Source organism: Homo sapiens, chromosome 3, assembly GCF_000001405.40.
Source record: "Homo sapiens chromosome 3, GRCh38.p14 Primary Assembly".
In the NCBI taxonomy this organism is placed as follows: Eukaryota; Metazoa; Chordata; class Mammalia; order Primates; family Hominidae; genus Homo; species Homo sapiens.
Genome location: NC_000003.12, coordinates 196,257,402 through 196,270,615, shown reverse-complemented (window position 1 = coordinate 196,270,615; position 13,214 = coordinate 196,257,402). Strand labels below are relative to the sequence as shown.

Sequence of the window (13,214 nt, the reverse complement as noted above, 5' to 3'; positions counted from 1 at the left end):
CGTCTCTGAAATACTGGTGACAAACTTTTTCCCACCCCAATGAGAAAATTTTTGTTTTCACTTTCTATGACCAGTTAAAAGAAGATGGATGCACAGTGTTCAGCCAAGGTCAATGCAAGGAAGAGGAGAAAAGAGGCGCCCGGACCCAACGGGGCAACAGAAGAAGATGGGGTTCCTTCCAAAGTGCAGCGCTGTGCAGTGGTAAGTGGAGATTAACCTGGCAGGGGGAGGGTAGAAACCGATATGACATTGATGATATCAGTGTTACATGTCTTCTGAAATAATGAAAAGAAGGAATAGTAAGTGTATTTTCACAGTCACTGGAAATCTGCTGCCTTTTTACTGGATTATGACTCACAGCTCAGTTGTAGAAGCTTTACATTGGGTTTAGAAAAAGAAGTGTTAGGAAAATATGGAAGTTGCATGTGTATTAGGCTGAAACTATTGAAATATGGCCAGGTGCGGTGACTCATACCTGTAATCCCACACTTTGGGAGGCTGAGGTGGGAGGATCACCTGAGGTCAGGAGTTTGAGACCAGCCTGGTGAAACCCTGTCTTTACTAAAAATACAAAATTAGCCGGGCGTGGTGGCGCATGCCTGTAATCTCAGCTGCTTGGGAGGCTGAGGCATGAGAATTGCTTGAACTCGGGAGGCGGAGGATGCGGTGAGCCGAGATTGCACCATTGCATTCCAGCCTGGGCAACAGAGACAGACCCTATCTCAAAAATAAAAATAAAAAGTAAATAAACAAATAAATAAAACTAATGAAATAGAAAAATTGGGGCTCTAGGCAGTGATTTGATCTTCGTATCATCTCATGGTGTCTAGTGCGTCTTTTCTGCTGTTTTTTCTCCCTCTATCATTCCTCCATCCTGTTACTAGTTGTATCTTAGATGAGAACCTTTTTCCGTTTATGCCTACCTTATGCTCCTTTATCTCTGGAAAATTATCTTTGTATTTCCTAATTATTGCCAAACCTTAGATGAAAGACCCCATTCCACACTGCCTATCCCATCTCAGCTTGCTACCCTTCCTAAAGCTTTCCTCCACACTGCCTATCCTGTCTCAGCTTGCTACCCTTCCTAAAACTTTCCATAATAAAAACATGTCAGAGAACACTTACACACAATTGAAGCTACTGTTGTTAATATTATTATGAAATCTGTGTTTCAAAATCCCAGTGACAGAATTGTATGTTTCTTTACCTATATTGACTATTAGCCATTGATCAAACTCAGTTTCCACTGCTTAGTTCTAGAGCTTCCCAGCCCAAAGGGAAAAATCTATTCTGAAACAGTTAATACTTATTCCAAATGAATGCTCTGTCTTGAGCAATAAAAGCAAATAATACCCTACAAATAGACAAGTGCCTGCAGGGCTGATATTGATCATAAGGGCAAGTATATATATTTGTTTCCTGTTGCATTTGTAACAAATTACCATAATACAAATATACAAATGAATTATCTTACAGTTCTGGATATCAGAAATCTGAAATGGGTCTCAGAGGGCTAAAATCAGGGTGTTGGCAGAGCTGGAGGGTCCAGGGGAAAGTCCATCTTCTTGCCTTTTCCAGCTTCTAGAGGGTTCCCACATTGCTTAGTGCTTGGCACCAGCCAGTGCTCACATCACTCTGACGATTGCTTCTGCCATGTCTCCTGCTCTGATTCTGAACCTCCTACTTCCCCTTTTCACTTACAAGGACTCTTGTGATTACGTTCGGTATACCCAGATAAACCAGAATAATCTTCCTTTATTTAATCATATCTGCAAAGCCTCTTTACTATTTTTATTTTTATTTATTTTTATTTGTATTTTTGAGACAGAGTCTCGCTTTGTCACCCAGGCTGGAGTGCAGTGGTGCGGTCCCGGTTCACTGCAACGTCTGCCTCTTGGGTTCAAGTGATTTCCCTGCCTCAGCCTCCCAAGTGGCTGGGATTGCAGGTGCCCACCACCATGCCTGGCTTACTATTTTTATTTTTATTTTTATTTTTAGAGTAAGGGTCTTGCTATGTTGCCCAGGCTGGTCTTGAACTCCTGAGCTCAAGTAGTCTTCCTATCTCGGCCTCCCAGAGTGCTAGGATTACCAGGCGTGAGCCACTGTGCCTGGCCTGCAGAGTCTCTTTTGCCATGTATGGTAAAACAGTCACAGGCTCCAGGGAATGGGTGTGGCCATCTGCAGGGGGGCATTATTCTGCATACTACAGCAAATAAGCTCAGAAAGTGACTCAGCAATCAACAAAACAGGGCATTGTTAGTTTCTGAATATTTCTTAGATAATTCAGATTAAAGAAATGGTGGTGTGTACCAATTCAGCAACATCACTTGGAGTAGGAACAAGTTATAACCAAATAGGTGATACTGTCAGCTAATCAGCCAATCACTGTAGCTAGGAATAAAGCAAAGGAAGCCAGTCTTTTCAGTGGAATGAGCTCTGAGAAAACTTAAATTTCTTGGTCTTTAGACTCTGGGAATCTTTTTTTTTTTTAAATTCTTCTGGGGAGTCTTAATGCTTTAAATTACTTTGCTTCATATATTCATGTGAAATCAGTTCAGTGACTTGCTGCTACCTATTCCACATTCCTCCCTGAAACACACAGACTATTTGGCATAGGTGAATGGTCAGAGATCCACCCAACAGCCTGGCCCACCTTAGTGAGGAGGAATGTCTGCTAGTAAACTTTCTGCCATCTCACTGTACACCTGTACTTTCTAGCTCTGAATCTCCTTTGAACTCTATAACAAAAGCAAGCAAGACTTTTTTCTTTTTTTAACAGCTTTATTGAGTTATAATTGACATATCATTTACAGTATACAATTCAGTGGTTTTCAGTTTATTCACAGAGTTGTGCAACCATCACCATGACCAATTTTAGAATTTTTTTCTTTTTTTTTTTGAGACAGGGTCTTGGTCTGTTACCCAGGCTGCAGTGCAGTGGTGTGATCATAGTTCACTGCAGCCTCAACTTTCTGGGCTCAAACAGTCCTCTCACCTCAGCCTCCCAAGTAGCTGGGAATATAGGTGCACATCACCATGCTTGGCTAATTTTTAAATTTGTTTTTGTAGGGATGGGGTCTCACTATGTTACCCAGACTGGTCTCAGTCTCCTGGATCAAGCGATTCTCCTGCCTCAGCCTGCCACAGTGTGGGATTACAGGTGTGAGCCACCATGCCTGGCCTGGGATATTTTTATCACCCCAGAAAGAAGGCCTGTACTCATTAGCAGTCACTCCCCATTTCCCCCCAGTCTCTCCAGCCTCTGGAAGCCACTAATCTGCTTTCTGATTCTGTGGATTTGCCTGTTCTGGACATTCATACAAATGACATCATACGGTATGTGGTCTTTGGGGCTGGCTTCTTTCACTGAGCTTGTTTTGAAGATTCATTCGTACTGCAACATGTACAAGTACTTAATTTTTTTTTTTTTTTTTTTTGAGACTGAGTCTCGCTCTGTCGCCCAAGCTGGAGTGCAGTGGCGCAATCTCGGCTCACTGCAACCTCCGCCTCCTGGGTTCAAGTGATTCTCCTGTCTCACCCTCCCGGGTAGCTGGGATTACAGGCGCCAGCCACCACATCCGGCTGATTTTTTTTAATTTTTATTTTTGGTAGAGACGGGGTTTCACCATGTTAGCCAGGATGGTCTCGATCTCCTGACCTCAGGTAATCCGCCCGCCTCGGCCTCCCAAAGTACTGGGATTATAGGCGTGAGCCACCGTGCCCGGCAATTTTTTTTTTTGAGACAGAGTCTCACTCTGTTGCCCAGGCTGGAATGCAGCGGTGTGATCTCGGCCTCCCAGGTTCAAGTGATTCTCCTGCCTTAGCCTCCTGAGTAACTGGGACTACAGGCATGCGCCGCCACCACGCCTGGCTAATTTTTGTATTTTTAGTAGAGATGGGGTTTTACCATGTTGCTCAGGCTGGTTTCAAACTTCTGACCTCAAGTGATCCGCCCACCTCAACCTCCCGAAGTGCTGGGATTACAGGTGTGGGCCACCACGTCCGGCCAGTACTTCATTTTTTTTTTATTGACAAATAACATTCCATCATATATCACATACTACTTTTTAGTTATTCATTCTCCAGTTGACATTTGGGTTGAGTAAGCAAGATTTTCTTGCATTTTTATTTATTTATTTTTTTGAGATGGAGTCTTGCTCTGTCGCCCAGGCTGGAGTGCAGTGGCCTGATCTCGGCTCACTGCAAGCTCCGCCTCCTGGGTTCACGCCATTTTCCTGCCTCAGCCTCCCGAGTGGCTGGGACTACAGGCGCCCGCCACCAAGCCTGGCTAATTTTTTGTATTTTTTAGTAGAGACGGGGTTTCACCGTGTTAGCCAGGATGGTCTCGATCTCTTGACCTCGTGATCCGCCCGCCTCGACCTCCCAAAGTGCTGGGATTACAGGCGTGAGCTACTGCACCTGGCCTTTATTGCATATTTACAATGCGCTAGTATGGCAGTAGGTGGTAGACGTGTAAAGATAAACAAGACCTTCCTTTTATGAGATGTGAGCATAGAGTAGAATTCTATAGCCTAGAGCTCATTAGTTTATTTATTTTTTTTTAATGGGCACTTGCAGGCCAGGCACAGTGGCTCACGCCTGTCATCCCAGCACTTCGGGAGGCTGAGGTGGGCGGATCACCTGAGGTCAGGAGTTCGAGACCAGTCTGGCCAACATGACGAAACCTCGTCTCTACTAAAAATACAAAAATTAGCTGGGCGCAGTGGTGGGCGCCTGTAGTCCCAGCTACTCAGGAGGCTGAAGCAGGAGAATGGCGTGAACCCAGGAGGCGGAGTTTGCAAGTGAGCTGAGATCGCGCCACTGCACTCCAGCTTGGGCGACAGAGCGAGACTCCGTCTCAAAAAAGAAAAAAAAAGGGTAGGGGGACTTGCTCTGTTGCCCTGGGCTCAAGCTATCCGCCCACCTCTGCCTCCCTAAGTGCTGAGATGACAGGCGTGAGCCACCACACCCGGTGGAGCTCATTAGCTTTAGAAAAAGTACTTTCCTTGCATGTAAAGAAAGGAATAGGAAGGATCACCAAGTAGTAGATACCTGGGTTGGTGGGTCAGGATGAAATGGATAGAAAAGAGACAAAGGAGTTAAGAAGGAAAAACTAGGAAAAACTTTATGGCTATTTTGTCGATAAGTATAAATCATTTATTGATACAGATGTTTCTAAAGGTTCAATCAAAAGGATCACAAAAGTATTTACAAAACATAAGACGTTTAGCTTATCTTAATATATATCAGGCTGGGCGCAAGTGGCTCACGCCTGTAATCTTAGCACTTTGGGAGGCCGAGAAGGGCAGATCACGAGGTCAGGAGTTTGAGACCAGCCTGGCCAACATGGCGAAACCCCGTTTCTACTAAAAATACAAAAAAAAATTAGCTGGGCATGGTGATGTGCGCCTGTAATCCCAGCTACTCAGGAGACTGAGGCAGGAGAATGGCTTGAACCCAGGAGGCAGAGGTTGCAGTGAGCTGAGATCACACCACTGCACTCCAGCCTGGGCAACAAAGCGAGACTCTGTCTCAAAAAAAATAAATAAATAAATAAAATAAAAATAATAATAAATAAAATAAAATAACTTACAAAGAATATCATATGTATGAATGAGTCATGAAGTATCTAAACTGTGGGGGAAATTGGCCATAGTTCTGCTTATGGCAAAGTAGGCCTCACAATCTCATTTCAACCAAAATGTTTCGAGAACCTCTACTTGCCAGTTGCATTGGAGATGCAAGGATGAAAAGATGACCTTGCCCTTGGAAAACTCACAGACAAAAAAGAGAAAGAAACAGCAGCAAATAATTATGATACAGTATGAAATTATGATACGTATGAAAAGTGCCAAATAGACGGAAGTTACAAAGTCAATCTCTTGAGAAAAAAGGAGTAGGAAGGATACCAGGTATTAGATGCCTGGGTTGGTGGGTCAGGATGGCCATAGTTCTGCTTATGGCTAAGTATAGGCCTCCCAATCTCATTTCAACCAAAATAATCTTGAGAAGCAAGAGACTGACTTTGACCAAGAGGTAGGGGCAGTGGTTTGGGAAAAGCGTCATCAAAAGGGTTATTTCTGAGCTGAACTTTGAAGGATACAAGGAATTCAAGAAATGAACAAGAGATGGGGTACAAGTTCAGAATCATGAAGTAGGGCTTAAACTATGACATTAGGTACAGAGAGTGCGAGATAAACTTTGCACATTTCTAGAAGGTAAAATCGGCTGGGCATGGTGGCTTCACGCCTGTAATCGCAGCCCTTCAGGAGGCCAAGGTGGGAGGATCCCTTGAGCCCAGGAGTTTGAGAGCAGCCTGGGCAATATAGGGAGACCCTGTCTCTATTTTAAATTAAAATTGTAATTTTTAAAAAAGATGTAAAATGGACAGTTCTTGGAGATTACTGAGATATGAAGGACAAAAGGTGTTAAGAGTGACTCCTAGGTTTCAGTCTTAGGTACGTTGTGTAGATGGGGTACTTCCCATTGAGATAAGAAATACCAGGAGGAAAAGCAGGTTTAGGAGGAAGACAAAGAGTTTAACTTAGTACAGGTTCAATTTAGAGGGCCTATAAGACATCCAAATAGTAATTGGACAGATGAGCTCATTGTTTACATTCACTGAAATGGCAATAGGAGTCAGGGAGAATGATTGCTTTTCTTTCATTTTTAAAACCAGATCCTGGCTGGGCGCAGTGGCTCATGCCCGTAATCCCAACACTTTGGGAGGCCGAGGAGGGTGGATCACGAGGTCAAGTGATCGAGACCATCCTGGCCAACATGGTGAAACCCCGTCTCTACTAAAAGTCACAAAAATTAGCCGGGCGTGGTGGTGGGTGCCTGTAGTCCCAGCTACTCCGGAGGCTGAGGCAGGAGAATTGCTTGAACCCTGGAGGTGGAGCTTGCAGTGAGCCGAGATCGCGCCACTGTACTCCAGCCTGGCGACAGAGCAAGACTCTGTCTCAAAACAAAACAAAACAAAAAAACAGATCCCCGGGGGGTGGAATCTTTCAGCTCTGTTCTTTGTCCCTTCTTTCTCATACCACATGGTATTCCTCTTGACTCTGTAGCGTTTCCCGTGGCATTATTGAAAGAATTGGGCCAAGCACAGTGGCTCATGCCTAAAATCCAAGCGCCTTGGGAGGTGGAAGGATCCCTTGAGGCCAGGAATTTGAGACCAGCCTGGGCAATGCATTATAGAGAGACACTGTCCCTACAAAAAAAATGGAAAAATTAACTGGATATGGTGATGTGCCCCTGTGGTCCTAGCTGCTCAGGAAGATGAGGCAGGAGGATCTCTTGAGCTTAGGAAGTCAAGGTTATAGTGAGGTATGGATCGCACTGCTGCATTCCAACCTGGGCAACAGTGAGACCCTGTCTCTTAAAAAATAAAAAAAATAGAAACAATTGGGATCTCGGGAGGACCCTTTATCATTAATACAGAATGTTTGGGTGAAAGGGAAATAAATGTTTTTCTGTGGCATTCAGAAACTTTTTGCTGAAAAATATTTAAGAATCCTTAGAGTTGGATGCGGTGGCTCACGCCTGTAATCCCAGCACTTTGGGAGGCCGAGGCGGGTGGATCATGAGGTCGGGAGTTCAAAACCAGCCTGGCCAACATCGCGAAACCCTGTCTCTACTAAAACTAAAAAAATTAAGCAGGCGCAGTGGTGGGTGCCTGTAATCCCAGCTACTCGGGAGGCTGAGGCAGGAGAATCGCTTGATCCTGGGCGGCAGAGGTTGCAGTGAGCTGAGATCGCGCCACTGCACTCTAGCCTGGGCGACAGGGTGAGACTGTCTCACAAAAAAAAGCCAAAAAAAAAAAAAAAGAATCCTTAGAAAGTAAAAAGTGTACTGGGAAGACAATATCAAGTTCTAGTCTATATTATTTGAATTATGTCCATTTTCCTGTTAGTGTGGATGCCAGAATCTCTTGTTTTCACTGAAATTTTAAGGAATAGTGAAATAATGTGTGTGAATATAGTCTGGAAAAAGTTGTTATGGAAGCAATATTGCATTCAGAGACAATTCATAATTTGGGGACTGTTGATTTCCATTATAACTTTTAGATGCATGCATTTGGAAAGTTTATATAGCATTTTAGAAGCTAACCTCTTAGATTAATAGGAGTTAATTTTGTTAGCATGCTGAAATCTGTGTTCTATAGAATACAAGAGGAAATGAGCTAACGACAAATTCGTCGAGTGCCTACTTTTGTGAAACATTATGCTAATTACTTTGCGGATGCTACTTTGTTTAATCCTCATAGTAAACTTGTAGGGCAGGTATTGTTGTTTTCTATTTTGTAGAAGATGAAATGAAAGCTTTAGAAACTTGCTGTGATTTCACAGGTATTAAATGATAGAGTTGGGATTTAGATCTAAATTTTCCAAGTCCTAACCCCATGTTCTTTCATTTATACCTCACTACCAGATAGTCTTAAGACTTGAAAGCGATACTGTGGCATTCCCTTGAGGTTAAAATGAAGGAGATGTGTTTTAGGAGAACACAGAAATATTTAGTCCTACTTTTATAAACCTCAGCTTCTAGAGACACTGTTCTTTGAGAATAACACAGTGTTTTAAAAAAATACTACCTTTTCTAGCTGGAAACAACTCTAGAAAAAAAGATTTTGCTGCTTTGTTATAGCTGCACAACGTTAGGTTTCACTCCCTATACTTAGGAGAAACGGATTCAGCCTAAACCCCAGCCAGGAAGGACAGCTGTATTTGTCTTCTACCTGGAAATATACACAGTATGTGAGAAAGACTGAAGAAACAGTTGTGAAAGATAAGATACTTAAAATATCTCTTTTTTTTTTTTTTTGAGATGGAGTTTTGCTCCACTGCCCAGGCTGGAGTGCAGTGGCGTGATCTCGGCTCACTGCAACCTCCGCATCCCGAGTTCAAGCAATTCTCCTGCCTCAGCCTCCCGAGTAGCTGGGATTGCAGGCATGCACCACCCCACCTGGCTAAGTTTTGTATTTTTAGTAGAGATGGGATTTTACCATGCTGGCCAGGCTGGTCTCGAACTCCCGACCTAAGGTGGTCTACCCGCCTCGGCCTCCCAAAGTGCTGGTATTACAGGCGCCCACCACTGCGCCTGGCTAATTTTTGTATTTTTAGTAGTGACGGGGTTTCACCGTGTTAGTCAGGATGGTCTCGAACTCCTGACCTCATGATCTGCCTGCCTCGGCCTCCCAGTGCTGGGATTACAGGTGTGAGCCACCACACCTGGCCAATGTATCTTTTAAAATTTGGGTAAAATTCACATAACATAAAATTCACTATTTTAACCATTTTAAAGTATATAAGTCAGTAGTTTATAGTCTAGTCATACTGTTGTACAACCATCACAACCATCTAATTCCAGAACATTTCATCACCACAAAAAGAAACCCCCTGTATTCATTAGCAGTCACTCCCTATTACCCCTCCAGCTACCTCCTGGCAACCACTAATCTGCTTTCTGTCTCTACAGCTTTGCCTAGTCTGAACATCTAATGTAAATGAAATCATACAACTTGTGGACTTTTGTGTCCGACTTCCTTTTTTGGCATAATGTTTTCAAGATCCATCCAAGTGGTAGCATGTATCAGTACTTTATTCCTTTTTATGGGTAAATAATATTCCATTGTGTGGACATACCATTTGTTTATCCATTCATTGATGGACATTTGGGTTGTTTCTACTTTTTGGCTATTACGAGTAATGCAAGTGTGAACATTTTTCATGTATAAGTTTTTTGTTTTTGTTTTTGTTTTGTTTTGTTTTTTTGAGGCAGAGTCTTTCTCTATCTCCCAGACGAGTACGGTAGCACAATCTCAGCTCACTGCAACCTCCACCTCCTGGGTTCAAGTGATTCTTCTGCCTCAGCCTCCCAAGTAGCTGGGATTGCAGGCATGCACCACGCCACCTGGCTAAGTTTTGTATTTTTAGTAGAGATGGGATTTTACCATGCTGGCCAGGCTGGTCTCGAACTCCCGACCTAGGTGGTCTACCCGCCTCGGCCTCCCAAAGTGCTGGGATTACAGGCGTGAGTTACCGTGCCTGACATAGTTGTTTTTTTCTTAATATATGTTTTCAGTTATCTTGGGTATATACCTAGCAGTATAATTTCTGGGTCATATGGTAATTCTATGTTTAACATTTTGAAGAACTGTTTTCCAAAGCTGCACATTATTTTATATTCACAGTAGCAATGTATGATGGTTCTAACTTCTTCACATCCTTACCAAGACTGTTTGTTATTGCCTGTCTTTTTGCTCATAGCCATCCTGGTTGATATGAAGTAGTATTTCCTTGTGTTTTTGATTAATATCTAGGTCCTTGGTTCTATTTTTAAAAGTATTTCAAAGAAGAATAACACATACACATCTAAAAATGAATGTCTTGGCTGGGCATGGTGGCTCAAGCCTGTAATTCCAGCACTTTAGGAGGCCGAAGCGGGTGGATCACTTGAGGCCAGGAGTTCAAGACCAGCCTGGCCGACATGGTGAAACCCTGTCTCTACTAAAAATCCAAAAATCAGCCAGGTGTGGTGGTGCATGCCTGCAATCCCAGCTAGTTGGGAGGCTGAGGCATGAGAATCGCTTGAACCTGAGAGGTGGAGGTTGCAGTGAGCTGAGTTCACACCACTGCACTCCAGCCTGGGCGACAGAGCAAGACTTTGCCTCAAAAAAAAAAAAAAAAAAAAAAAAAAAAAGAATGTTTCCATTTATATCATTAAGTATATCTTAAACTAAACTTATATAAGTGATTTTTTTTTTTTTGAGACAGGGTCTTGCTCTGTTGCCCAGGCTGGAGTGCAGTGGGGCAATCTCAGCTCACTGTAACCCCTGCCTCCCTGGCTCAAGCAGTCCTCCCACCTCAGCTTCCCAAGTAACTGGGACTACAGGCATGTGTCACCACGCCCAGCTAATGTTTGTATTTTTTTGTAGAGACAGGGTTTCGTCATGTTGCCCAGGCTGGTCTTGAACTCCTGGGCTCAAGCAATCCACCAGCCTGGGCCTCCCAAAGTGCTGGGATTACAGGCATGAGCTACTGCACCTGGCCAAAACAAAACAAAACAAACAAACAAACAAAAAAAACGTGTTTTAATGTTAAAACAATTTTGAAAATCTACACTTACCTGAAAACAAAACAGTATCTTCCCAGTCTCTGGATTCAGCCCAATCATGATACGATCTTTTTAGAACGGAACATCACTGCAGCCATACAGAAATTAGAAGGATTATAAGGGAGCAATTTCATGCCAAAAATTTGACAATTTAAATGTAATAGACAATTTCCTAGAAAGAGACAAGTTGCAAAAACTAACCAAGACAAAGGAGAAAATCTTAATAGACTTATATCAAGTTAAAAAAGAAAAAAAAGGAATTAGTCATTAAAAATCTTCTCACAAAGACAGGTCCAGGCCCAAAGTTAAAAAATTAGCTGGGTGTGGTGGTGCATGCCTGTAGTCCCAGCTATTAGGGAAGCTGAGGTGAGAGAATTGCTTGAGCCCCAGAGTTGGAGGCTGCAGAGAGCTATGATCGTGCCGCTGCACTCTAGCCTCGGTGACAGAGTGTCTTTACAAAAACCACAAAAACATTTAAGGAATAAATAATACGAATCTTACACAAAAATAAGGTAAAGAGAACACTTCACAACTTATTTTGTGAGGCCAGATATCAAAGCCAGACATAAACATCACAAGAAACAAACTATAGTTAAAAATCCCAGGCCAGAGGCTGGGCACGGTGGCTCACGCCTGTAATCCCAGCACTTTGGGAGGCCAAGGTGGAATGATTGCTTGAGGCCAGGAGTTTGAGACCAGCCTAGGCACGTAGTGAGACCTTGTCTCTACAAGAATAAAAAATCAGCTGGGTGTCGGGTAGTGTATGCCTGTAGTCCCAGCTACTCGGGAGGCTGAGGTGGGAGGATCACTTGAGTCGGGGAGTTGGAGGTTGCAGTGAGCTGAAATGGCGCCAGTGCACTCCAGCCTGGGCAACAGAGCTGGACCCTCTCAAAAAAAAAAAAAAATCCAGATTGGAAAAGAATAAGCAAAACTATATTCACAGATGACATGATATTATATGTAGAAAATGCTAAGGAATCCATGAAACAACAACGGATACTAGAACTGATAATTAACTTTAGCAAAGTTATAGGACATAAGATCAATATACAGAAAATTTCAGTTACACAAACACAAATACAAATCAATTGCACTGTTACATAATATCAAGGAACAATCCAAAAATAAAATTCAGAAAACAATTCCATTCACAACAGCATCAAGTAGAATAAAATACATAGGAATAACAAAAACTCTTTTTTTTTTTTTTTTGAGGTGGAGTCTTGCCCTGTGGGCTAGGCTGGAGTGCAATGGTCTGATCTTGGCTCACTGCAACCTCTGCCTCCCGGGTTCAAGCGATTCTCCTGCCTCAGCCTCCTGAGTAGCTGGGATTACAGGTGCCTGCCACCACACCAGGCTAATTTTCTGTATCTTTAGTAGAGACCTGGTTTCACCATGTTAGCCAGGATTGTCTCAATCTCCTGACCTCATGATCCACCCACCTCGGCCTCCCAAAGTGCTGGGATTACAGGCGGGAATAACGAAATCTCTTAAACGAAGCCATCTATAATAGAGAGATCAATCTCCTTTCTCTCATCTTTTTTTTTTTTAGTATTACAGTGTATGCCATTGAGTTGAACTTTCTTTTCCTTCACTTTCCATTTCTTAAGGGCTTACGGCAACCAGCTCCTTTTTCTGATGAAATTGAAGTTGACTTTAGTAAGCCCTATGTCAGGGTAACTATGGAAGAAGCCAGCAGAGGAACTCCTTGTAAGTAAATACCTTCTTAATTTGTTGTTTGACTATTGTTTTTAGCATTCCATTGTCTTTATCAAATACACACCTGCTCTCTATATACTGCCCTCTGTTTACTTGCAAAGGCCAGCAGCGAAGGGGTTCTTCTCACCTGTCTTGATGTTCTATTTAGAAGGGTAACTCCACTCCATAAACTTTCATTTTTTTTCTTATTATTATGCACCTGTTTCCTGGGCTGCTGTTGTAGCTGTGAGATACAGTAAAACAGAAACAATATGATATTATATTAGCTTGAGCTGAGTTATGATCTTATCTATTTCTATAAAGTCCAAATCATGTGTCAGGGTGTCACATTCTTCATAGCCTTCAGAATTCCCCACCACCTCTCTACGTTCTGTCAG

At 42.9% G+C, this 13,214-nt stretch overlaps 1 protein-coding gene across 2 annotated transcripts in view, besides 2 other annotated features; it reads left to right on the top strand.

Moving 5' to 3' along the window:
• PCYT1A (phosphate cytidylyltransferase 1A, choline) overlaps positions 1 to 13,214 on the top strand; it is a 53,359-nt gene that overhangs the window by 17,111 nt on the left and 23,034 nt on the right. For both annotated transcript variants that reach the window (NM_001312673.2, NM_005017.4), the window contains 2 exons: positions 75 to 201; positions 12,729 to 12,828. In NM_001312673.2, coding sequence (NP_001299602.1) covers positions 85 to 201; positions 12,729 to 12,828 — 217 coding nt within the window. In that variant the 5' untranslated portion in view covers positions 75 to 84. The remainder of the gene's footprint in view (positions 1 to 74; positions 202 to 12,728; positions 12,829 to 13,214) is intronic.
• Positions 6,321 to 6,871: an enhancer, noted in NCBI's record as "H3K27ac-H3K4me1 hESC enhancer chr3:195990616-195991166 (GRCh37/hg19 assembly coordinates)". NCBI's record gives its function as "activates a minimal SCP1, AML or CMV promoter by ChIP-STARR-seq in naive H9 embryonic stem cells {active_cell/tissue: H9 hESC(naive)}" and the evidence as "EXISTENCE:reporter gene assay evidence [ECO:0000049][PMID:30033119]".
• Positions 6,872 to 7,423: an enhancer, noted in NCBI's record as "H3K27ac-H3K4me1 hESC enhancer chr3:195990064-195990615 (GRCh37/hg19 assembly coordinates)". NCBI's record gives its function as "activates a minimal SCP1, AML or CMV promoter by ChIP-STARR-seq in naive H9 embryonic stem cells {active_cell/tissue: H9 hESC(naive)}" and the evidence as "EXISTENCE:reporter gene assay evidence [ECO:0000049][PMID:30033119]".